The sequence below is a fragment of the Homo sapiens genome, chromosome 9 (assembly GCF_000001405.40).
Source record: "Homo sapiens chromosome 9, GRCh38.p14 Primary Assembly".
Lineage (NCBI taxonomy): Eukaryota > Metazoa > Chordata > Mammalia > Primates > Hominidae > Homo > Homo sapiens.
In genome coordinates, this window is record NC_000009.12 from 28,935,345 (window position 1) to 28,963,130 (window position 27,786).

At 36.2% G+C, this 27,786-nt stretch overlaps 1 protein-coding gene across 11 annotated transcripts in view, besides 1 other annotated feature; it reads right to left on the reverse strand.

Moving 5' to 3' along the window:
* The window catches only part of LINGO2 (leucine rich repeat and Ig domain containing 2), a 1,275,985-nt gene that overhangs the window by 997,728 nt on the left and 250,471 nt on the right, over window positions 1–27,786 (reverse strand). For all 11 annotated transcript variants that reach the window (NM_001354574.2, NM_001258282.3, XM_047422814.1 and 8 more), the window contains exon 2: window positions 12,474–12,570. The gene's annotated coding sequence lies outside the window, so the exon portion shown is untranslated. The remainder of the gene's footprint in view (window positions 1–12,473; window positions 12,571–27,786) is intronic.
* Window positions 3,551–4,132: an enhancer, noted in NCBI's record as "NANOG hESC enhancer chr9:28938893-28939474 (GRCh37/hg19 assembly coordinates)". NCBI's record gives its function as "activates a minimal SCP1, AML or CMV promoter by ChIP-STARR-seq in naive H9 embryonic stem cells {active_cell/tissue: H9 hESC(naive)}" and the evidence as "EXISTENCE:reporter gene assay evidence [ECO:0000049][PMID:30033119]".

A 27,786-nucleotide genomic window follows, 5' to 3' on the forward strand; every position in this document is an offset into this window, starting at 1 on the left:
GGGCTCTTGGTGCAATACCCCATTATATGACCTATTTCTTTTTCTTATTCCATCTTGTGGCTGTCCTATAGTTAAGATATAGACAAAGAGACTGGGAGAGTAGAGAAGAAGCAATTTAAAAGTTAAGGCAATGTAATGAATGTTGATGCATACAAAAACTAGAAATCTATTTTTCATAATTGCATAAAATTAGAATATTTAAATTCTAAACATTTTCATATACATAGTGATTGGGAGTCAAAATATGCTTGGTGAGGACTCTATTCATATTGCTTTAGAAAGAAGCAACTGTATTTAAATTGTTTAATAAATATATATGTTATAGAGTCATAAGAGGATTAAATATAATGTTCTTTTTTTAAAAAAACAAATCTGCAATATAGTCAAATTCTTTAAATGGCATTTCTCACTGTTGAGCTAATCTGATTACTTTATAATTCATTTTGATAAAAATAAAATATTTGACCTAGTTAAAAGATACACTGGCAAAATAGGGCTCAATCTGAAATACACATACAAAAAAGCCATGTTCATATAATATAAAAGGGACAGCTAGATTTTGTTTTGTTAGAGAAACAAAAGAACTATGTTCTAGTAGCTAATTAAAAGGTATTAAAATAGAGTCATATTAGAGAAAATGAGTATTTTGTTCTACAGAGATAGCAAAGTGGGCAAAAGCAAGGAACTCAACATTAGTAAGATTAATACAATATTAAGATAGTAAGGGAAATTTATTTTGTGGGCCAATACCCTTAATTATTCACAAACAAATTTTCACAATCATTATCTATTATTAACTTCCATGTGCAAACTCAATGAAGTCATAAGGAGACTAATTTTTCACCATCTGAAAAGAATGCTATTCAAGGAAATCTTATGATCATATCTTTTCTTTAAATTAATAGTCAGAACAAAAGCCTGTACACAAAAAGTTGAAAGAAAACTATTTTGAAAGGGTGTTGTGGTGTCTTGCCATCACAGTCCTGTGAAAAGTCCATGATCTGAGCAGGAACAGAAGGTCACCAAAAAATGGTAGTGGTGATGATAAAGATATTCCTGACTCAAATGGATACAATGGTTTCCCTTAAATCATCTTATTTAAACCACACAAATAACCATCTGAAGAGGCCAGCAAACATATCATTATCACTTAATGGACAATAAAACTGAAGCCCAGAGAAGCTAAGCTCTTTGTGGAGAGTCACATGCAACCGAACTACATTAGAATGACACTGAGTTCTCCACTGCTTGGAAAACCAGTAGTCTTCCTGGTTGATCTGATTTTCTCAATTTGTAAAATTGTGTTAATAATTAGTGTTAAAAGTTATCAAGGGTATTAATGAAATAATGTACATATAGGGCTTAAAATATTATCTGATATATGGCAAATATTATTGCCATTATTATTATAAGTGGTCAGTCACATTTGAACATATTGTATTTGTCAGCTTGAGCTGGTATAACGATATATCACAGACTGGATGGCTTAAGCAAAAATTTATTTTCTTATAGTCCTGGAGGCTGTAAGTCCAACATCAAGGGAACAGCAGGATTGGTTTCTGGTGAGGCCTCTACTGGCTTTCAGATGACTGCTTTCTCGATGTATCCTCACATGGCTTTTTCTCTGTGTGCATACACTTCTGGGGTCTCTTCTTGTAGGACACCAGCAGTATTGGATTAACAGTATTGGCTCTATTGATCTCATTTAATCTTAATTACCTTCTTAAAGACACTGTCTCTAAATAAAGTCACATTGGGGCACTAGACCTTCAACATATGGATTTGGGGACCATAATCTACCCTCTGGTCCCCCAAAATTCATGTTCTCTGGCATGCAAAATGCATTCACCCCATCTCAATAGTCTTAAAAGCCTTAACCCATCCCAGTATCGACTCCAAGATGAAAGTGTATCTAAATATCACATATCGCGTATGGTAAGACTTGAGAGGCAGCATTTGAAATTTGTTTGTGAATAATTCTTCTCCTGCTATGAACCTGCGAAACCTAACAAGGTATGTGCTTCCAGAATAAAATGGTAGGACGGACATAGGAAAGACATTATTGTTCCAAAAGACAGAAATTGGAATAAAGAAAGGGATGATAGATCTCAAGCAAGTCCAAAACCTAGAAAGGCAAATTCTGTTAGATCTGAAGGTTCCAGAGAATAATTCTCTTTGGCTTGATGCTCTGCTTTCCAGTCCCAATAGGGTGGCAGCCTCACTTTCTAGACCCATTGGTGAGGAGTCCCACCCACTCAGCCATGGGTGGCAGTTTTGCCCCTGAGGAAATGAGCAAGGGCAGCCTCATCCTCTGAAACCAAGGAGGTGGTCCTACCCCTGAAACCAGGAAGGAGACAGCCTTGCACCTTTGCATCTGTGGGTTCTGGGCCTGCGGTGTGAGTGGCAGACCTGCTAGTCTCTCAATTGCTGTTTGGATCATTTTTCTTTTTTTTTCCACTTTTATTTTAAGTTCAGGGGTACAAGGGCAAGTTTGTTACATAGGTAACATGGGGGTTTGTTGTACAGATTTTTGCATCACCCAGGTATTAATCCTAGGACCCACTGGTTATTTTTTCTGATCCTCTCCCTCCTACAACCCTCCACCCCTGAAAAGATCCCAGTGTGTGTTGTTCTCCGCTACATATTTATGTTTTCTTATCATTTAGCTCCCATTTACAAGTGAAAACAGTTGGGATTTGGTTTTCTGTTCCTGTGTTAAAGAATAAGGCATATTTTGCAGCCAGAGAGCCAGTTATCTCTTTTGTTCCATTCTATAGAATTTCAGAAGTCTGAAAGCCTTTCTTCATTTTGTCCCATCTTTGTTCCTTTTAGTCCAGTGGCAGGACCTCTGCTGGAGTCACCCATTTATTATTCCTGACCTCTGCAAAGATGGCTAACTAAATTTATGGGTTACCTCTTTATGGAGTGATTGGCCAACCACATTCTTGGTGTTCTCTATAGAACATGCTTTCTCATTTTTTAATAATATGCATTGGCTTAGAATTTTCCAAATATTTTAAGTTCAATTTCCTTTTTGCTTAACACTTCTTTCTTCAATTTCTCTCTCTCCTTTTACATTTTACTTATGAGTATTATAGTATATACTACATATAGTCATGCACCCCATAAGGACATTTCTATCAATGATGGGCCACATATATAATGGTTGTCCCATAAGATTATAATGGAGCTAAAAATTTCCTATCGCCTAGTGACATCATAACCATCAACTTGGCACAATGCATTATCTTTTCTATGTTTAGATACACAAATACTTACCATTACATTACAACTGCATACAGTATTTGGTACAGTAACATGCTGTACAGGTTTGTAGCCTAGGAGCAATAGGCTACACCATATAGGTGCAGACCATGCCATGTAGGTTTGTGTAAATCTACTCTATGATGTTTGCACAATGATGAAATCATCTAACAATGGGTTTCTCAGAATGTATCCCTGTCTGTAAGTGATATACGATCACACTGTAACAAATATTATACTATTTCTCATATCTATGATTTTGTCCACTGTGTTTTCCTGGAATATGTAATGTTAAGAAATAAGAGCTCACACGCAGAAATTGAACTAACAAGTAGAAACTGTTCAATAGCAGGATAACATGCTCTGTCATATTTATGGAAGGGCAACTTATATTCCAATTTAATGAACTTTACTTTCTTTTATTACTTTCCTGCACTTATCTTATTTCTGCAAATTCTATCTGTGTAGCTCTATCCCTTTTATAGCTCCCTGAGAACACATATAGTGCAAGAATGACCGTGGAGGTGAATGAGGAGGAGTGCCTTATGTTCTGCAGTTCGAAGGCTACTTAAGCTACTTAAGGCTACTTAAGAGTGCTGACAACAGTGAAAAAGTGACAACGAAGAGAACAGCCACTCCTCCTCTGCTAGGACCTCCCTCAAAAATCTACTATTCCATCTACATTTGAGGTTGGAATCATTGCTCACTAACTGGCTTCCCCAGAACTCTGTCTCCTGTTATAAAGCCTTTATTTTCCAGACATGCAAAATAACTTCCTATTTCTGTTTGTGCCACTTTCTTTCATACCCTTCAGCTGCCTCATTTTTTCATATACTTGACCATGGGTTTCATATACTTGACTACCCCTAAAATGGGTAGCTTTAAACTCTTTCTGCTGCCTAAAAATACTTATTCTTCTAGACCCAGATTAAATGGCATCTCTTCTATATGATATTTCCTAATATCTCTGGAAGATGTGATCACTCCTTTCATACTTTCATAGAACTGTAACTATAATACTATAATTACTTATTGGTTTAAAGGTTTGTTTCTTCCACTTAGATGCAAGGTCTTGAGAGCAGAGGTGCTATCTTACTAATTTATCTATCTTCAAGGTAAATACAGCAACTGGAATATAGAAGGTACTTAAAAAATGTGCATGGGATGAGTGAATGAATGACTGCAGTGCATTTCTACCCCACCTTTCTGAATTCCCTCTGAGCCAAAAGGTGGTCTTTACCTTTATTAAGACCTGTAGTCCTCTATTACCCACTCTAGATTAAAAAGTAGAATAAATCTTGAGAGAATTAAGTTCTCTTTATTACTGGGGCCCAGCATTGTCTGTGGCTGTTTAATTTGTCAATACTTACGAAACTAATTAGCATTTTCATTCTGCATGAAAAGATCAATATAATTATAAAAATAATTTATGAAGCACTCTGTTACATTTTATAATTTCTACATTGCCTTGCATCAGCCTCCAACTTTAGTCATCCTCTTATTACTGATTATTGCATTTCCCAAACCTTACATGTTGCTGGGCAGTGACAGTTTAGCTGTTCACCAAGCCGATGTCTTCTCCTCTTAGACATGCAGGTAGGCTATGACTCCCTGTCTCTGTTGCTCTGTCAGGTGAGTTCTACCCAGTGGAAAATGAGTAAAATTATGGTACCCCACTCCTCAGCCTGGCCTTCAAAAATGCCTACTTGTGCTCCTTATATCTTTTTCCCTTCTACCAGATTATAAAGCTAATCAGGGTGATCCTAGAAGACACATATTGAAAATAGCAAGCCCTCAGATGGAAGGAGCACTGTTCTTTGAATCTCTACTTAAATGAGAGCTGTCCATGCACCCCATATGTTTTTTTTAACTTTAAATGACAAAGAACTGTAATTCTATTGTGTTTGAGCTATTATACACCTTGAGGTTTATTTGTTACAGAATCTAGTATTATATTAACTAACACATTTGTTTTACTTTGGTTCATGTCAAGATAATAAGACTACAGTGGCTAATAAAAATCAGTTATAACAAACATTAAAACTTTGTATGTGCATATGTGTGAGAAATAGAAATGGAGAAGGTAGCTTTGTGAAACTCCAACTAGTGACTCCCATAACTATGAAGGATTGCTGACAGGACTTTCATTACTGCAAATTGCCCCTATTTAATAGGCAGCTCTTATGCAGCCTGTGCTCCTGCTGTTTGCAAAACTTACTTTGAATATACAACACCAATTACAGAGACTAAACACATCAAGATTTTGAGGAGTCTAGAGAGTTATGCAATTAATTTTATTTATGTACTTTCTGCTTTAAATGCCCCTGAAAAGAGAAAATTGACTAATGTATCTTAAAAGGAACACTCATATTTATGTCTTTGCCCCAGTCACACTCTTTCTCTCCACAAAAAAAAATAAAAGAGAAAGGGAAGAAGGGAGGAAAGGAGGAAGAAAGAAATGAAGGAAGGAAGGAATTCAGCTGAAATAAAATAAGCAGATACAGTACTGGAGTTTTCAGCAAGGGCAATAAATGGTAAAATTCTCTTGAAAGTTCTGTAGTCATTTATTAGCTATGGAAAGCTACAGAAAAACTTAGAGACTCTGACCAGTGCCAGAGAAGGCTGAGAGGCCTGACACTTCTCTTGAATTCTAGGACAGCAAAGCATTTATTAGTATCTAGATATGCATATTTAATTATGCTGCAATAATAATTTTACTGTCATTCCTCAAAGCTGAGAAGAAACAAACGATACCCTATTCCTTTTTCAATGATCCTGTGAAACAGCTTGGGGCAGCATATAATGATAGTACCACAAGTGTCTCCTTGGCATTTACATGCTAATGATACTGTCCAATTAAATTATATAATATTGTGTGATAAGCCCCTTTTGCAACTAGGCAAAAATGTATACATATTATAGTACAATTGTTCTCACTTCTCAAGAGAGATCTGTAAATCTTGAGACTTTGCCTTTTACATTAGAATAAATCCTCCACTCACTTATTCATGCATTTAATGCATATGTTTTCAGAGCTATTATATGCATTGAATGACTATTTTTACACTCCCATACCTTTTTAAAGTTGACATCAAAAACAAATTTTTGTGTGTATAATTTTAAAGAATATAATTTTGGGGTTACTATATATTTTATTTATGCTTTAAGTACATGTTCCTTAAAACCTTTGGTATACAGATATTTTAATCTTTCATCTTATCAGAGGAAATCCAAAAGAAGATGAGGATGGATGGAGAAAAGCTTGATCAAGTGATGAACAACAGGAAGATAAAGACAGTAGCATTGTTATAAGTTTAACACCTGAAAGAAATAAGGTACTCCCCCTTTATTTCTTCCTTAAGCTCCTTTGTTTTGCTCTCTTGGGACTGTCCCTATAGAAGCTTCATTTTGTTCCTGACTCTTCCCTTTTTTAAACCTCACCAACGTTTTTATCCCCCAGGACGGCATACCCTGGGAAGTAAGGACAAGAATGAGAACCATGTCTTTGTATTGTAAAGTGAAAGAGGAGCTATTGTGAAAGGAAAAGTAGAAAAGCAGAATTGGCAGACCATAATTGGAATATCATTTGGACTCTTTTAGGAAAGACTGTACAGGAAACCTCAAAATTTGGAAGTTGTTTCCTTGAAAACTTAATTTGTATATCATCTCCAGCACCAAGTTATAAAGCTATATAAAACTATAACTTGGTGGTAGAGATGATATATAGCTGAGAAGCAAGTGCTCAGAAGTGAGGAGAGTAAGTGATGGGGGTGCCAGGTGGGTGTACCAATATGTAAATGGCATTCAATTATAGAAATCACCAAAAACCAAATAACTGAATCCAGAATGGCTGACTGCATGGGCCATGACATCAGAAGTACCTGGGTGTGAATCTCTGTCCCTTCTTTGCCACTAACTAGCTGTGACATTTCAGAAAATCTGTTTTCTCTGTCTGAGTCTGTCTCCTTATCTTTTCAATTTCAGCTGAAGTACGATGCCCAGGAAACATTTTCTAATCTTTGCCATTTCTCTCCTTCCAGTGAAACTGAGCAATTTTCTTATTTGCTCCTTGTTCTTAGAATGAAGTTTTATGCTATTACTGTATACTTAAAAGTTTTTTTGGGAGGGTTTCTGTTTTTGTTTTTGTATTTTTACACTTATTTGTCTTCCCTATGAGAGAGTGAGCAAATGGGGGGCTACTTGCTATCTCCCTCTCCCTTCCCTAAAATAATAGGTGACACAAAAGAAATGCTAAATAAATGTTTGTTGAGTTGGTGACTAAAATGTGATCATTACATTTATCTAAGAGGCTTAAGGGAATTAAGTGAGATACTGTGTGTTGAACATTGAGTTGGAAGTGACAGCATGTATGCTTAGGAATAGGAGATGCATTAAAGCAGTGACAGACAGAATGATAAAATATGGCAATTGTAGTAAGCAACCAGCTATGAGATATATTAAGGCATATAATAAGCTTGCATTCTGCTAGTCAGAAAATGCACAAACTGTCGTATTAAGGGCTAAGGTAAAGACGCAATCTCAGGCTGGGTCCCAGAATGCTAGTGTCATAGTCAAAACAGTCATTTTAGTAGGGAGCATTCTTTGTAGAATAATTGCCACTTAAAGATAACTGAGGACTCCATTATGGAGCAGGAGAACACTGCATCCATAAGACATCAAGACATTCTTTGACTACTATGGGAATTAAATATAGATCTAAAATCCTCTCTAAAATAAAGATCCAAGGAGGTATGCTACAGATGAAAAAAAAAATGTGTCCTGCAAGCAAAATGAGGATAGATCAGGTGACGGATTGAGTGAAGGGCAGGAGACAATGAAGAATATATTGTAGATTATACAGGTTTGGATGTTGTTATCTTGGGAGAAGCTTTAAGGCATCCACTTATTGTTTTATTTGCATAGTCTGATGTGGTTTTTAAAGTTTATATTGAATGCTGTTAAGAAAGGCAAGGACTCTGAAGTTCGTCTCAGGGTTTATTATTCCTATTGTCTTTTATTTGCAGTCTTCACAATGCACATGCATGAAAGGTAAGTGCTGTAGCAAAACGAATTGAAAAAAGTAACAAACGTATGCATTGCTCTGTAATGGATGGAAAAAAAGGATAACAGGGCTGGTGATGGATCAGTGGAGAAGGTGGTGAGAAGAATAGTGTAAGGAGTAAGATGTGCGAGATGAGATGCTTCTATAGGGTACATGTATAATATCTAGGCAATCACAGTGGCATTCTTTGTTTAAGGGCCCAGTGAATCTTGTCGAGCTAAGATTAACTTCGTAAAGGAACCATAGTGTGCTAAACATTCATGAGTAACACATTCACGGAAGAATGCATGAGTTCATTAGGACATATATTCTGCCCTATATAGTGGCTTAACAGCAATAACTAAACAAGTAGAGCTTATTCATCTTTCACATAACATTCATCACAGAAGGAGTCCTGGACTGTTTCGCTCTATAAATTAAGGCAGTAAGCGAGACTTCTTCTATGATGTTATTCTACCACATCTAGACAGTTATCTTTGTCTGTATGATACAAGCTGGCTCACCACGACATCTCATTCCATATCTAATTTCCAAGTTAGTCAAGGAAGAAAGAGAAGCAGACATTCAGACCCTTGAAGGATATGACCTAGTAATGGTATGCATTGTTTTAGGTAACATCACATTGGCCAGAACTTAGACACAAAGCCAAACCTAGATACAAAGGGGGCTGGACATACCTCTATCTCTGTCTGTCTGTCTGTCTATCTATCTACATACCTAAAATGCTTTTGGGTTTTTGTTTGTTTGTTTTGGAGATGAACTCTCACTCTTGTCCCCCAGGCTGGAGTGCGATGGCATGATCTCGGCTCATTGCAACCTCTGCCTCCCGGGTTCAAGCAATTCTCCTGCCTCAGCCTCCCGTGTAGCTGGGATTACAGGCGCCTGCCACCACGCCTGGCTAATTTTTGTATTTTTAGTAGAGACAGGGTTTCACCATGTTGGCCAGGCTGGTCTAGAACTCCTGACCTCAGGTGATCTGCCCACCTCGGCCTCCCAACATGCTGGGACTACAGGCGTGAGCCACCACACCTGGCCGCTTTTGTTCTTAAAAGAGGTTATTGACCAGCTACTGAATGAAGCTTAATCACTAATAATTGATTTAAATGAAAGATGACATACAAACAGTCAAAATAATTGGTGAAAGTCAATAAGCACACTGGTAAAAAACAAGAATGTTTTTTACCTGTGTGCAGAAGATACCTGAAACCTGTTTTTCAGAAAATATTTTCCTGAGAAGTTCTACAAAACAGATGAAATAGGCCTACTCTACTGATGCTTTTCAAAGTCTAACTCATCAGGTGAAGGTGAATTAAGTGTTCAGCAGCTTAAACAAAACAAATATAGGCTGGTTGTTCCAATACATGCTTATACTGGTGGCTGTCATAAAACAAAACCTTTCATGATTAGAAAATTAAATTACCCTAGGATTAGGAAGCAGCTGTACCAGTTGCATGCTATCTTGGTACCAAGATTGGCCCTATCGTTTTCTAACCTTACAACTTAACAAGCCAGTATTTCCTATAAATCTATTTGTATTAATCTGTAAAATGAGGATACAAAATGCTAAACAGAACTAGAATGAGGATTTGATAAATTAATATATATGAAAGCAACTGGTTATTAAAAGGTATTGATAAACAATAGTAAAATCAGAAACCCTATTATTAACTTGACCATCATGTTTTATTTTTACATAGTTCTTCCATTAACTTTTTATAAGTACGTGGAATCAAATTCTGTACAGAGTTACTCTACTGCCTAATAAGTGTAGAGAACTATTATTAACTCTTGTCTCATTCTTACCTATCTCTCTTAACAGTTACGTAATAAAATTGTTCAATTCTATCTCCAACAATAAAACTTCCAAATAGACTGTAAAACTTTAATCTTCAAGGTGAAAAAATGGCAGTTAGTGGGGTATACCAGAATTGCTCTGGTTCTGAATAATCATGTTTAAAATGTAAATTCTTAGGACTCAACCTATCGTACTGAAGCAGAATCCCCCAAATAGCACCTGCTACCCTCTGTATTTAAAATGCTTTCCAGGTGGTTGTAAACACTTTAAATCTTGAGAACTGTTGCCCTAGAGAAGCAAATGTTAAAAAGCCTCATGATAACGGAACATTGTCATACAGGTTATATGAACAAACCTAAGGTAAAGATCTATTGCTTCTGGCATGGTAATAAATGAATAAAATGCTCATTTTTAGGTACTTGTTTTAGGTTAGGTACTTCTGATAAAGATGAGGCTTCCTTTCACCTCCTCCCCACCAACCTCATGAGTCACACCAATCTCCTAACCCAATTTTGTCCTTATTCTGGAAGATTCCAAAAAGTTCCTCATAAATATTTGAGGGATTTGTATGTTATCAAACCTATCAGTAGATCTAGATATATAGCTAATATGAAAGATCACCAGTAATGTTCTAAGAACGAGATGATTTACATATATGCTTTGTAATCTTTAAAATGTAAGCAATCTGACTGTTATGAACCTCATATTTTAATGAGAATTCTGAGGCTAAAAGATGTTTAGTAACTTGATCACTACTTCAAAGTAGGTAAAACAGAAGCAAATATAGGGTTACTACAGAGAAAAAGCAGAAAGAAATGTGCCCCTACACAGAGAGAATTCTATTTTAAAAAAACTTTTAAAATCAATCCGAAGCTGGACATCAAGTGGGAATTTGGAAATGTTTGGTTAGGAGCTTCTGTAAAATTTTTTAAAGATGCTTGAATTGAAAAGCAATATAGCATAGGAGGGATATGGACATTTATTCAGGTGTTCTCAGAATGGAAATAATCAAAAATAGCTTTAGTAAAGAATTGCCCAGATTCCTTTCCCCTGGTGCTCTGGAAGAAGCCTGTCCTTATTGATGTTGGAGAGTCTAGCCTAATATCTTCCATGCATTCACTAATTTTGTAGGCTTTTTCCTATTAAAAAGTGAAACCATACATTGAAACCTGGAGATAATTGAAGACTGCTCCTCTGAATCTCACACTGAGAGTTGGCTTTCTTTTTCCCCCCATTACATAACACAGAAAGTAAAAATGTAATCTTCAGCAATAGACATGGTATCTGCTCCCACAGAAATGGTGCTATTACCAATACAGAAGCAAGACTATAGGCATGACTACCACAGAGAGAGTGCTTTACAGCCTTCCAAGGCATCACTGTTGAATAACCCAAGCAAATCTGACTCACAGAGACAGAGTACATATGTGGTTCATGATCACCAGGATAGACTTGTTTGAAATTTTTCAGGTAGGCTACCTAAAGCAACTAATTCCAATGGTACTGCTGAGTCCCAGGAACAAAAGAACCTGTGTTCTGGCATTTATAAACTAATATCCTAAATGTGTACTGGAATTCTAAAGGTTTCAACCAGAAATCTGAAATTTCCTCAAACAAATGTCTTCTATGTAAAAAATATATATCTATATCTAGATCTGTATCTATATATCTCTCTATATATCTATATCTATATCTATATATCTGTATCTACATCTATATAGATATAGATATAGAAGCTTCAATTTCCATTATGCTGAATGGAATGTTTCAGATAAACATTTCGTTAATTACAACTCTTCATGGATAGTGCCATAAAAAATAGTGGCTTATATTTTAAATATTCATCCAAGGAGGCAGCATGGCAGTGATAGAGTAGATTTTGCAGTCAAATCACTCTTGAGCCATTTGCTAGTTTCATCAATTTGGATGAGGTTTTAATTTCTCTGAACTTCTGTTTCTGCATCTTTACTCTGTGGATAATAATATCTACCTCTTAAGGCTGTTATGATAACTTACTGACTAACATAAATAATGTACATACACATAGTGGGAAATTAAGAACAAATTTGAGTCTGCTATTGTGCCCTACTCCACTTCAGGAGCAAGAAAATAATCACTGCAAAATAATAGACTTTTTGTTGAATCTCAAACTTGTAGACTGGGTTACAAAATTCCATATTTTTTATGTCATTATCTGCTCGTAGTAAGAAGAAAACCCATACACACACACATATACACGTCTGTATATTTATATATAATATGCATATTATATATACATTTCCTTTATATATATGTAATATGTATATATAGTATGAAATTGGACCAACATATTAAGAATCACTTTCCTCTTACCACAACATGAAGCAATTTCAACATGGATGCTCCAACTTCATTTGGGATACTTCACATATAAGGATCCTATATCTTGAAACCATCTCCAGTGGATTTCCTAGATGAAATGAAACAGAAACTCTTGGGAACATGGAAAATAAAAACCTAGCTTCTTTCAGTAGTGCTCAGCTAAAATTCCACATCATTCTCCATCTTGCTGGTTTTGCCCTAATTATTTAAAAAAATGTTTACTTCCAATCCAATTTGATGTACCCATCCTTGATGACACTATTGCTTGCATTTTCAGGTAATGCATTTTATTATATGTGTTTTCATAAATCAATGAGTATTCTTAAATGTATATTAAAAATCAACTAAATATCAGCAATAGCATATAGATGAGAAAAAGGAGGACAGCAATCAAGTTACAGTGTGTTAGAGAAAGAAAAATAATTTGAATATATAGCTTTTCTCTTTTTCAGATGCTTGTGGATGTCTTTCTAAAAGTTGAATGAATAAAAACCATAATACAATAATGAAACACATTTATCTGTTTCCATTCATCACATTAGTATAAAATATATTACTCTGTACCTATATATTCTAGTCTTGATAATTTTGCAAGCTAAAGCTTTTATAAATCTATAAATTTGCCATTTATAAATTTGCCAGGTATTTATTTGGCTCTTTTGGCAAAATTTGAGCAATTTTCTGACTCTCGCTCTCACACACAGATACATATATGCACATGCACATACACATACCACTTAAAAGTCAAATTTATTGCAAGAAATTATACTACAATCACATAAAATACAATGAAATCACATTTATTTGCCAGGCTAGGTCTATACCCTTTAATAGCTATTTTGGTTTCATTACAATAAATCTTCTACAAAATAATGAAATAAATCTTGGTTATGCAAATCACAGTATTGAAAACACTGAAACCTGATTGTGTAAAACATCTCAAGCTCAAGGAGATATGTCATAGTGATCAATTTTAAATTAGTCACTTTAAAACAAATTCTGTTGCTGCACTCTCTTAGTGCGTTCCTGGATTTCTATTTTTACGAATACAGTAATTACAACGGTACTAGATGGCACAAGTGGATCTCTCTTCCTAAAAGTTAGATATGCAAAAGAGTCCGCTGGGCCCATTAAATAATATTGACATCTCAATTCCTCTTATCGGTTCACTTCAGGTACAGACTTTGAACAATGAAAGTTCCTTCTATTTCCCCTTCAACAGAAGCCAAGTAAGAAATTCGTGTTTTTAAGTTGTTGTCTCGTAGCTGCAAACCTAAAGCAGTGTTTAGAGGGAAATTTATAGCATTAAATGCCGACAGGAGAAAGTGGGAAAGATCTAAAACCGACACCCTAACATCACAATTAAAAGAACTAAAGAACCAAGAGCAAACTAATTCAAAAGCTAGCAGAAGACAAGAAATAACTAAGATCAGACCAGAACTGAAGGAGATAGAGACACGAAAAACCCCTCAAAAATCAATAAATCCAGGAGCTGGGTTTTTGAAAAGATTAACAAAATAGATAGAACATATGTAGCCAGACAAATAAAGAAGAAAAGAGAGCAGAATCAAATAGACACAATAAAAAATGATAAAGGGGATATCACCACTGATCCCACAGAAATACAAACTACCATCAGAGAATACTGTAAACACATCTACACAAATAAAGTAGAAAATCTAGAAGAAATGGATAAATTCCTGAACACATACACCCTCCCAAGACTAAACCAGGAAGAAGTCGAATCCCTGAAGAGACCATTAACAAGTTCTGAAATTGAGACGGTAATTAATAGCCTATCAACCAAAAAAAGCCCAGGACCAGATGGATTCACAGCCGAATTCTACCAGAGGTACAAAGCGGAGCTGGTACCATTCCTTCTGAAACTATTCCAAACAATAGAAAAAGAGGGACTCCTCCCTAACTCATTTTATGAGGCTAGCATCATCCTGATACCAAAACCTGGCAGAGACACAACAAGAAAAAAGAAAATTCAGGCCAATATCCCTGATGAACAGGGATATTGTTCATCAATATTGATGCAAAAATCCTCAATAAAATACTGGATCCTGCAGCACATTAAAAAGTTTATCCACCACAAACAAGTTGGCTTCATCCCTGGGATGCAAGGCTGGTTCAATATACACAAGTCAATAAGCGTAATCCATCAGCAGCACATTAAAACTGAATCCAGCAGCACATTAAAAAGTTTATCCACCACAAACAAGTTGGCTTCATCCCTGGGATGCAAGGCTGGTTCAATATACATAAATCAATAAACGTAATCCACCACATAAACAGAACCAATGACAAAAAGCACATGATTATTTCAGTAGATGCAGAACAAGCTTTCAATAAAAGTCAACACCGCTTCATGCTAAGAACGCTCAATAAACCAGGTATTGATGGAACGTATCTCAAAATAATGAGAGCTATTTATGACAAACCCACAGCCAATATCATATGGAATGGGTAAAAATTGGAAGCATTCCCTTTGAAAAGCAGCACAAGACAAGGATGTCCTCTCTCACCACTCCTATTCAACATAATATCGGAAGTTCTGGCCAGGGCAATCAGGCAAGAGAAAGAAATGAAGGGTATTCAAATAGGAAGAGAGAAAGTCAAATTGTCTCTGCTTGCAAATGACATGATTGCATATTTAGAAAACCCCATTGTCTCAGCCCAAAATCTCCTTAAGCTGATAAGCAATTTCAGCAAAGTCTCAGGATACAAAATCAATGTGCAAAAATCACAAGCATTCCTATACAACAATAATAGACAAACGGAGAGGCAAATCATGAGTGAACTCCCATTCAAAATTGCTACAAAGAAAATAAAATGCCTAGGAATACAAGTTACAAGGGATGTGAAGGACCTCTTCAAGAAGAACCCTAAACCACTGCTCAAGGAAATAAGAGAGGACACAAACAAATAGAAAAACCTTCCATGCTAATGGATAGGAAGAATCAATATGGTGGTGAAAATGGCCATACTGCCCGAAGTAATTTATAGATTCACACTATCCCCATCAAGCTACGACTGACTTTCTTCACAGACAAAATGACTTTAAATTTCATATGGAACCAAAAAAGTGCTCATATAGCCAAGACAATCCTAAGCAAAAAGAACAAAGCTGGAGGCATCATGCTACCTGACTTCAAACTATACTACAAGGCTACAGTAACCAAAACAGCATGGTACTGGTACCAAAACAGATATATAGACCAATGAAACATAACAGAGACCTCAGAAATAATGCCACACATCTACAACCACCTGATCTTTGACAAACCTGACAAAAACAAGCAATGGAGAAGGATTCCCTGTTTAATAAATGGTGTTAGGAAAACTGGCTAGCCACATGCAGAAAACTGAAACTGGACCCCTTCCTTACACCTTCTGCAAAAATTAACTCTAGATGGATTAAAGACTTAAACATAAGACCTAAAACCAAACCTATGTTTCTATATTCTGCTTTGAGATTTTGGGTTTGGGACTCTGCACACCACTTTCCTTTGCCAGATGGTTTCCTTAGATTCTGCAATGGGGGTGGGGGGGCACTGGGGACAGGCCGGTGGGGTGAAGAAAGGGAGAAAGAGGCTTATTCTTTCCTGTTCTCTTGCTGTCAGCATTGTTTAGCAATCATCCTGCACCCTGTCAGCGGCAGTCATTTCTGCCTACCGATTTTTCAAATCCTTCCAGAACCAGCTTATTCTGACCTGACAGAGGTGCCACCCCCAGGTGGCTCGTATCCCATCCTGAGAGCTCTTGAGTTTGAGTTCCCAAGGCCTCTGCTTTGAGCTTCTGAGACACCAACACTGGCTGCATAGCAACACTTCTGAGAAGTGTGATATAGAGATCTACGAAGTCCCTTTTCCAAGCTCCCAGTGCCCCAGCTTTTCATTTCGTTCCCCAAGCCCTAAGGGTGGAGGTGCTTCCTGAGATTACTCTCTCTGTATAACTTCAGGGGCCTCTTTTTCCTCTTCCAGCTCTCCAACAAATATTTAATCCACCCATTATATTAAAATTTCCTTGTTAAAACAACAAGTATGGGACAAAGGATATGAATAGACACTTCTCAAAAGAAGATATTTACATGGCCAAACACATGAAAAAATGCTCAACATCACTGATCATTAGAGAAATGCAAATCAAAACCACAATGAGATACCATCTCACACTAGTCAGAATGGCGATTATTAAAAAGGGTCTCTGACATTAGTTCTCAAACACATTTGTCAGATAAGTGCGTGGATGGAGAGCCCATCCATCCACACACTTACGGGGCATGGAGACCCACAACAGTAGGTGGCAGCAGAGATAGACAGTCAGTGGTCACTTGGTACAGGAAAAAAACAAAGATGGCAGGAGAACCAAAGCCTCATCTAACCTTACTCTTAAGAGTTAAAATCATGGGTTCAATATCTATCTATCTAAATATTTTAATGGTTAAGGGTATGTGTTTTGGCAACACAAAGACAAGTCCTCAAATTTCGACCTCACTACTTTCTAGCTCTGTTTCTTAGTTTTTTCATCTATAAATGGATCTAATGACACTGTGATATACAGCTTTCAAAATGGCTGCAATAATTCCTGCCATCTCTATACATACTCTCTTTGCAATGAAATTTTTCCATTCTCATCTTCCAGAGCTAAAATTTCTTTCTCCATCTCTTAAATCTAGGCTTGCCTAGTGACTTGTTTGCCCACTAAAATGTAGAGGAATGTGACTTCTGAGCCTAGAAACTGCGAGGACTTGCATCTTCTCCTCTTGCCCTCTTAGAACTCTTCCACCACCACAGGAGAAAACCACACTGGCCTTTTCGAGACCTATGGCCCCCTGACAGGTAGCACCAACTGTCAGACAGAGAAGTAGCCACGTTAGACCATCCAGACTCAGTGGAACTGCTAGATGATTGTAGCTGCATGAATGTCCCAGCAGAGATAAGTAGAAGTGCCACCAAGCTGAGCCTCAGATCAAAACGCATGCCCATAGAATTAAAAGCAAATAAAATAATACTTGTTTTAAGTCATTAAGTTTTGAAGTGGTTTGTTATGCAGTGATAAGTTACCCATAACTGATTCAAATCACTACCTTCATAGTATTCTTTTAAGGATTAAAATAAAAGATGTAAGTGAAATGTATGCACAATGTCTGGCATTGGCATAGAATAACTCTCCAAATGTTTACTGGGTATAGAAATTACATTCCCAGCATCAACATGGGATAAACAATGACTGGCCATAATGAATACTAATGAGGAATGTACTCACTCTACAAGAGTTAAATATTGGGGTACATATGTTTGGTCTGAGACTATTGGTTCAAAGTAAAAGAGAGGCATGATTGAATTGAACATTTATCATTACTACTGAGATTCTCTGCCATTCTTTGAGTATCATTACTACTCAGGTATTTTTCTGGGAACTTGAATTAAGGTAAATGGGTATGAGGAGATAGAAAGTTGTCTTATATCAGTGCTCAAACGTTTAGGAATCAGGGTCTATATACTCTTTAAAATGAAGAGCATTAATTAATGTATATAAATTTTCATTTATCATATTAGAAATGAAAGCTGAGAAAAACTTTTAACAATCGTCATTGATTATCAGTTAATTATTATGAAAACACTAATTTAAAAATAAAAATAAACCCATAAAACAGTAACATAAATGACACATTTTTATGAAAGATAATTATATTTTCCAAAACAAAAAAATTAGGGGAGTGAGACTGTTCTATATTTTTGTAAATTTCCTTAAAATTTGACTTAATAGAAAATAGCCTTATTCAATCTGCATTCAACCTGTGTGATATATTATTTTAGTGGAAACCTATGAAGAATATCTAGTCTGATATAGACATGTATTTTTGGAGAAAAGAAAGAGATTTTTACTGCTTTTAAAGTTATTGTAGAATACTTCTTTGATAGCATAGCAACATTTTATGAGTAGTAGTTTCTAAAAGATCAGTTACAATATAAAATCTAAAACCAAATCAAATAACTTTTCATATTATTATATTAAAATCCACTGGCTATCTCTTATTGTGAATGGATCCTTTATCTATGACTGCTTGATCATCATGCACTGGTGATCCAGAAAATATTGGTTCACTAAATTAGGCATAATCAAATTATTAACACATACAAAATACTAAAAATTACTCTTGTTAAAATTACCGCTAATCTTATCCGAATAATTTTAAAGTATTGGGAAGTGTCACACCTATGGTAGCACAAAGAATTTTCAAAATTTTAACTTTTACTTCAAAGCTCAAACTTGATCACTGGCAACAAATACAAATACAAAATAGTTGCTTTCCTTGAAGTTACAAGATCACTTTGTTTATTTTTGAGAAATATATGCCAAATACCTTAAGCCTCAATAGCTTTAGTTTGACTATTAGTTACACTTTTATGTTAAAATGATGTTAAATGAAAAAGTAGCTAGTTCAGTGTGCAACTCAATTACAAAAGTACTTTTTGTTCTAGAAAACATCATACTTCAGTTTGCAGCAAATGTGCTTTATGCATACTTCACATTTCATCACAAAGGATATTAAGATGGTGTTTATTCAAAGAACAAGTTATAAAAAATAATGCATACTACTTCATAAAGGACACTGTTAAGTGACCTGCCATTTTGTTTTTTTTTGCTTGTTTACTTTAAAGAAATGATGGTGGAAAATACAGTGACTGCTAGTAACAGTCTGGTGTTGCCAGATTGAATTGTGCTAAGATTCTGGAAATTTTACCTACCATTGCCTTTGCACCATCATGGAAACTGTTAACACAATGAAGACACAAATAATACCTTAGTCTTAACTTAAAAATAGTTTTCACCTAGCACACGGCTCAAAAGGATCTTGGGAACTCCCATGGTACACGGACAAGAATTTTGAGAATGACTATCAAATAGTGACTTAAAAACAAAAACTGAAGTGTTAGAGTGTTTCTAGGAACTTGAGTATAAACAATCCTCTTTTAGGCCAGGGTGGAGATACCACTTTCCACCTTCAGTAACATCACTCTCGTGAGTTAGAAAGGATTTAGATTAAGATTAAAATAACTAAGGCTGGACCAAGGGAAACTGCCCTGCTCATAATTGCTTACCCCATACCTGGGACTGTAATGACTCATACCGAACCAATGTCAAAAACCCTGAATCAACTGAGGGAATTGGCAAAAGAGGGACAGAGATAGAGAAAGAAAGTGAGAGGACACAGAAGACCCATGAAGTTATAGACAAAAAGAAACGGAGATTAGGAAATCAATAAATATAGGGAGAGAAGGAGGAAAGTGTGAAAGGAGGGAGACAAAAAGAGAAACAATCATAGAGTCGAAATAGAGAGAGAGAGTGTGTGAGAGAGAGAGATAATGTTTTGAGGACACAAAAGCTAACAGAGATAGACAGGCAAAGAGAAACAGAGTCAGAAGGAGACAGAGAATAAGTATGCTATCATATTAGATTGTCAATGAAAGGAAAGGCAAAAATCTTTGCTTTGACATAGTTTTCAAGTAGTCACAGATTTTCTCTCTCTTCTGTGAGGCTGATTGACTATGGATGCATGGGAGTGTCTGCTTGCATGTGGATTAGGAAGATTGCTGCCTTTTCCTTCTGCCATGACCTGAAAGCCACACTGACTGCTGATGGAGGTAGTAAGGGATGTCCTGCAGTGGAAGAAGATAGACCTAGGAATCTGCAGCATAAAAGAGGTGTCTTGGTGCATGAGAACGAGACCTGGCACTGGGCATCTTCCAGGTTGACATAATTACCAGGCTGGGTGAGAGATGTAGTGTAAGTGCTTTACTTTGTCACTTATCAAATCTCACTGGTAAGGCCTAAAGAAACTGAATCTTCAGGAGAACTAAACATATAATTTTCCCTTTAACCATAATAGGGAATTGCCACTGGTCCTCTCTATCAAACATTAGATATGTTCAGATTCTTAAATGGAGACACAGTAAGGAACCACTTTGGATGTATGTATGTATGTAGAGATAAGGTCTTGCTATGTTTCCTAGGCTGGTCTCAAACTCCTGGCCACAAGCAATCCTCCCACCTTGGCACTGGGATTACAGGCATGAACGACCATGCCCAGCCCCACCTCACATTTAAAAACAAGATTACAAACAAGTAATTCCTAAATATTAACACTATTATTGGAAAACACACAGAAAGACAGAATGCTATATTCACTGTAAGTAAATGGAAACAGGTTAAAAAAAAATTAGGTGACTCTGTGTCATTACAGTGTGTTCCTATTAGTGTTCACATTGTATAAAAGGAAGAGTGGGGAGTGGTCAATAAGATTAGGTTTCATATCAGTCCACGGCATGAAAATGGGAATTCTGGGCTGCTATTCACCATTATGAAGACAAAGGCAACTTGGTATCAAGTGTCTCTAAGGACAGGAAAAGCTGTATGTAATCTTAGTTGGAGAGGGGAAAAAAACATGAGCAGGGAGAATGAAAGAGCTACCAGCACCAGCTGCTGTGATGCCAAACAGGAAGATGAGCTCTCCCTGTGCTCTTGCCAATTCAGGTTAATATTTAAAAACTTAAAACTGTACTCTGATTTTTATTAAAGTGACAGGTTTTTGTCTTGAAGTGGCACTGTTTCTTTATCTGTAAAGTGAAGTGCGGGAATCACACTGGTATTTCCCAGACTATTCCGTATAATGCTTGTGCACTAGAAGATGCTAACATAATCAAGTTTGACAAATATTTCCTTCCTTCCTTCCTCCATCCCTCCCTCCCCCTTTCCTTCCTCCCTTCTTTCCCTCCCACCCTCCCTCCCTCCCCCTTTCCTTCTTCCCTTCTTTCCCTCCCTCCCTCCTCCCTCCCTTCCTTTCTTCCTTCCTTCCTCCCTCCCTTCCCTCCTCCCTCCCCTGCCTCCTCTCCCCTTCTCTCCCCTCCCCTTCCCTCCCCTCCCCTTCCCTTCTCCTTTTCTTGCCTTTATTCCTCTTCTTTCCTTGTCATTCCCTCACAGTCTACTTAACATAATAAAGATTCTAAGACTACCACAATGAAAGAAAATATTTAAACTGATTTAAACACAGAATTTCTTTCTCTTTTTCCATATTGCCATCTCTTGGGATGATAACATTACCCTGGGAAACAATTTATGAAATGCCAAACTTCGTACTTGCTAAAAACCCTTATGAATCCAGGATTCTATGATTCTAAGCAGGACTAAGTGGGAGCACAGGAAATTGTCCCCTAAATTAGCTCCATTTGCCTCTGTAACCCAAGTGTCTGGACTCAACATATTCAGAAGCCTGGCAGTTGAGGGCCATGGAGAATAGCCTATTACTTAGTCTCTTTGGATATCATCAGCATCGCACTAAGACACTGTGCATGTGAAGCACACCCTGGGACGTATGATTATCTTACCACCACTTAATTTTTAGGTCAATGAGCACAAGAGGAAATTTCCTTTTGAAAAGATCAGGAAATTAATGTAGGATTGCAGGAATTACATACAATTCCCCATGCAATGCAATGCCAAATTTCAAAAAGTACAAAGGGATGCACATGAAATTTGGCAGAATTAGGAGTCTTTACCTTGAAGGAGAAAGAGAATGAAAATTATCTGCCTGAAGTAAGCATTAATGCTTTATTTTATGGGTATGTTCTTTCTTTTAGTTCAGCATTCTCTAGATTCTCTTAAACTTTATGATTTTTGTTTGATTATTGTCTATCTCTTAAAGGTGAGGCTTCACAGTTCCAGGTGGCAGTAATAAAGTCCATACTTATGGATGTCTCAATGTCTCCAATCTGTGGAATATAAATTTTGAATATATACAAGTTGAGTGGCTTCCATTTTCAGGATGTGAAATATCTGTTCATGTTTTTGTTGTTTTGATTGTTTATATCACTTTATGTGGCAATACCTAGACCATCATAAAAGAGGTTTGGCAAAGTAAAATCTACCTGAAGATTTTAACATTTAGTGGGAAAACGCATTCATAGATCACTTTGCCCTAGAATTTCCACTTACCAGTAAAATAGAGACAATAAGAATAATTTATTAAGCACTTTTTATATTCTTGGCAATGCACTAATTTCTTTACTTATAGCATCTGAATGCTTATAATAAGTCTATGAGGTTGGTGCTGTTAACATGTCCATTTTATATTGAAACTCAAAGTAGTTACATAAACTTTTTCAAAGTCACACTGCTTTTAATGGCAAATCTTGTGATCAGATCTAGGTTTGTCTGATTCCAAAGTCTAAATTATTAATGATGCTCCTTCATTGCTAATTGTTTCTTTATTCAGTGCAATCGTAGTAGCCAACAGATGACCATCCATTAAGACTCATGTCATAGACTATCTGAATATTCTGCATTGTTAACTGGATGAGTCTAACCTTGGACTGGATTCTGGGAGCTGCAGCTGTATTTAAGGATTGTAATGATATTGACCTCAGCAGGTAGAATGTGAAGCTGAAGAAAAGCCAGAGACAATGTCTCATGGTGACCCTGTAATGATGAATCAAATTATTAACAAAATATTTAATAAGAGTATCTAGGCAAAAAGACAACACATGAATTCAGACAATAGAAGCAAAAGATAATACAGTAATGGCAAAACAAGTTTGAAATGGCAGCAGAGGTAGTCTAAAAAGATTCCCTGAGGTACTGAAAAAAGGGGTGCTGACACTTTTTTAGAATGCCGACAGCCTCTCCAGTGTAAGGGGAATGTTTTAAAACCTACCAAGTTGTATCTGACAGGTTATCAGCCCTCCAGGAATCGGCATCTCCCCTCCTTTACCGTACAATGAGCCCCCTTATCATATTATGCACCTACGCTTTACTTTTTAGGCAGGTTAAACTGCTGTGAGGTACACTGCAAATGATAAGAAAGGAGAGAAGAGGAGAAAAAAGGAGAGAAGGGGAGAAGAAGGGAAGGGAGGGGGGAGAGGGAGAGAAGAGTGTTGAGTTGATGAGGAGGAGTGAGAGACTGAGAGAAAGAGAGGTTGGCCATGGCAATGATATCCAAGGAAGGAGCCTCAGTCAAAGATGATGCCAAGACCTCAGAGACTCAGCTCTTAATAACCACTAACAGGATGATGACATCAAAACTAACAACATGCAAAGGGAAAGAGCAGGGACTGGTACATGGGACAATGTTCAACAGGATCACTCAGATAACTTTGTGGTAGAACTTGGTGGAACACAATCATTGGAGAAATCTGTGGTGTAGCTTGGTGTATTTCACCACCTAATCCCCAGTGCATGTGTAAGTGCCTGTCACCCTGCATGTACTGCTCATGTTTGTGAAATCTCCTCAAGTTGCCAAGGTCTGCTGAGTTGGTTTGTTGTACAGGTTTTGAAATCGCTGGATTGGAAATGAGAAATAAACCTATGAGACTGAGGGTAGAGATGAAAGAAAACAGAGAAACGGTCTCAACATTAGAAGATGGGAGGAAGAAAACAAAATTATTTCTGGAAAATTATCATAGTCTATTGTCTCATAAGAACAATAAAGTAGATATAATAATTGGGAAATAAATTGCTGAGGTAAAAGAGATAGATCAGAGGTGAGGTCTAGATACATTATAATAACCCAAATAATAAAGGTACATGAGAATAGAAGGAGAGGAGTAAATTAAAGGAAGATGTGGACAAAATAAGGATGAGAAAAACTAGATACATGTATAGGATCACCAAGGAGCAAAAATGATTCAAGAAACAAGGAATTAAATTTATTTATCACTCATATTCTCCTTCAGTTCCTTTCTCTTTTCTTTTATCTCTCTCTCTCTCTCTCTCTCCCTCACACACACACACACACACACACACACACACACAGAGAACAATGAACCCAAGGATTCAGCACTTAATCTACCAGCCCAGTTCTATCTAATACTGAATAGTGACAAACAGAATTATTGTGACTGTTTACAAATGGCTACTGCTTCCAGGCAATTTTCAAGGCCTGGAAGAAAGTATAAATGTCATCTAGACATAGTGAAACATAAAAGACATTTTGGATGTTAGAGCTCAGACTTTTAATATATACCAACTCTAAAAGCTGCAATTATGTGGTAGCAATAACCATGTGGGTAAATATAGTGTACATCTCAAAGATAATAAAATAAATGGTCCTCATAGGGTAGTTTTAATGCTAAATTTTGTGTTTGTAACAATTACATTTTAAATCTTTAATGCTGGTGTTAAGATTTTCAGCATAAGTGAGTTAGGTTGTTCACACTATTCAGACTCAAAAGTAACAAATGTTCTTGGAGCAAAAAAGTACATAGAAATTCTACTTTCATGAATCTATTCTTGATATGTGTAGGATTTTGACTAAAAGCATTTTAATTATAGTTTTAATTAAAAAAGATAGCTCTCAAGAAAACACCCTTCCCTCTCTAAGAAAAGATAGCAAATAATTAGAACACCTATAATCACAGCATTTTGAAAGGCCAAGGCACGAAGATTGCTTGAAGCCTGGTGTTCAAGACCAGCCTGAGCAACACAGCAAGATTCTGTCTCTACAAAACACAAAAGAATTAGCCAAGCATGGCAGTGGGCACCTGCAGTTCCAGCTACTGAGGAGGCTGAGGCAGGAGAATCACTGGAACCTAGGAGTATGAGGTTACAGTGAGCTATGATGGAGTCATATGATGGAGCCAGCCTAGATGACAGGGTACGACCTTTTCTCTAAAACGAACAAACAGAAAATGTCTCTGTGTGTTGTGTGTTATAGAAAAAAGTTACGGAAGTGTCCTAAAATGTTATTATCTGTGCTCATTTGTGAGTGATAAGAAATATGTATAATTGTCACTTTAAAGTATTCTGATATTATTTAATTTTTTTGTGTGGGCACATATTTCATTTATATGTGGGAAAATTATTTCTAAAAATAAATAGGCAGATGTAACTTATAAATAGGTTACAAAAACCACTTCTATGATCAGTATGCCAAAAATATGTTTATATAAAATAATGGTTGCTGAGTCATCAGAACAGTCCATATTCTAGAAAATGTTGAAAAAAATCAAGTAAATTTATTAATTCATTTGTTCATTTATTCATTCACTCAAGACACCTTTATTTAAATTTTAACAAAATATTGAATTATTTAATATTCACTACATATGAATCACTACTAATCACAAGGTCTACAGGAATGGAGGAAGCACCATAGCTGTCTTTAAAATGACCAAATGCCATGAAATCAGAAAATGGTTATGCTCATGTATATTTCTGATATGCTCATGTAGATTTATTTGGCTAAGAAGCATTCAGACATTGGTAATAGTAGAAATCCAGCTATATACTGTAAGGTTTGGAATAATTGGAATAGGCACAATTCTCTAGATGGCAATACAATCTTACTGTCATACTATCGCCGGCAAGAGTCTGATCTGTAGCAAGAATGCACATAGGTTTGCCTTCCCCTTCCTTTTTTTCCCATCCTGGCAGACAGGCCCTGAATTTCTAGTTTCAAGCAGCCAAATAAGGACTTAGGCAAATTCAGGCCCCTAGCATAGTCTGGCGATTTATATACTTGGGGTATATATGGCTTAGGATTTCATAGCCAGGGAATAACTTGTAACGTAATCCATAATACATAGCCCATAATTGTATTTTGCATGTTTATTAAAAAGGAGTAAATGGAGTAGGACTCATCCATATCCTTTCCTTTTGGGCTCAGGAGAAGATAGGATATGCACTTAAACTACAATTTATAATCTCAAAACCTCCTCCAGCTCCAGAAGAGCTATTTATCATCTCAGTGCTAAATGTAACCCAGAAAGAGAAAATGAACCTCCTGTAATGAAAAGTCTGAAAGTTGGAGCTATAAACAACTGCACGGAGAGTTCTGTGCTGAATTTATACAGACTGTAACCATCGTTCAAGGTGAAAAAATCAGTGACAGAACAAAAATCATCCACTGAACCTCAAGAGACACCTCTTTTCTCTGTGCTTTGCTTTTCTATATAGTGTTCTCATTCCTGATCAAGTTCTCTCCCCAGGGAGTGCTAATTGGCTAACAGTAACAACTACAGAAGTCTGTTTTGTTCTATAAACCAGCAGACTCAAAGAGTCCTCTGTGGAAAACTTAACGTTAATACTACTTCTGACTTCATCCAAGAGAGCTGCTATGCCTGTATCATAACCTTTGTTGCCACTTTGGAGTCTCTTTTCCAAGCTCTTATTTAATAAGCTTTAGGGAAAAAATACAGTTCATTAAAACAAACAAACAAACAAAAAAACAGGTCATTTGGTTTCAGACATTAAAGAGTGTATAACCTACTAAATAAACACAATACTGAAGGTAGGGTGGGAGCTACTGGTAAAATATTTTTTTAAAGTCTATTTCCTAAAAAGATTAGCCAATGTTTACCAGGTGGTAGGCCTTATTCTGTGTACTTTACCTGTATTAAATCAGTCAATCCTCATGATAACCTTAGGAAGTTGGTACCACTGTTAATCACAGTTTACTAAAAAGGGAACTGAGATTTAGAGAATTTAAAACTAAATAATTTATCCAAATTCATACAGATAGTAAATGTCAACATCTTTCCACTCATACCTTTAGATTAGAAATTCATTATTTTTATATCAAACTTAGTTAAAACATTTTTGCATTTACTTTTTAAATGTTCTTGAAGTATGAAAACCAAGGATAATAAATATGCCTAACTTTCTTCACACCACAAATAGTCATTCAGGCCACTCCTTTTCTCTTTCTTTATAATGTACTGGTACATAGCTAAATTATTGTATACACATAAATTTTAAAATATTTTACTGTAAAAGTATCAAGCTGTATTAACTGTAAAAGTTAAAGGATTTTATAGTAAGTACCCATATACCAATAACTAGATTTTGCTCTAAATAATTTACTACATTTCATTTATCATATATACATCTATTATATATTTATCATACAACATATTCTCATATATCTATACATTTATTATATTATTTTGTATCCTCCTTTTAATTTTACATCTTATCTTACTTTAATCTTAAACATACTTTAATTACTTCCCTTAAAGAGATTTACCCACACATTCATTAGGCCATGCTCTGGCCTAATCCTGGAACTTTACTCATTTGAAATATTTTCTTCTCATCCTTTACCTTCTCAATACTCCAAATGCTACTTATCCTTGAAGGTTTACTTTCTATATTTCATTGTCCATGTTAATAATATTTTGCCTATATTGTCTCTAAGTAAGATACAATGTTCTGCATTTAAGTGTTTAGCGCTGACAATTACATAGAAAAGGGGAAAGTGAAACTGAAATTTCCATTTTTCAATATCTTTAAGAGAAAT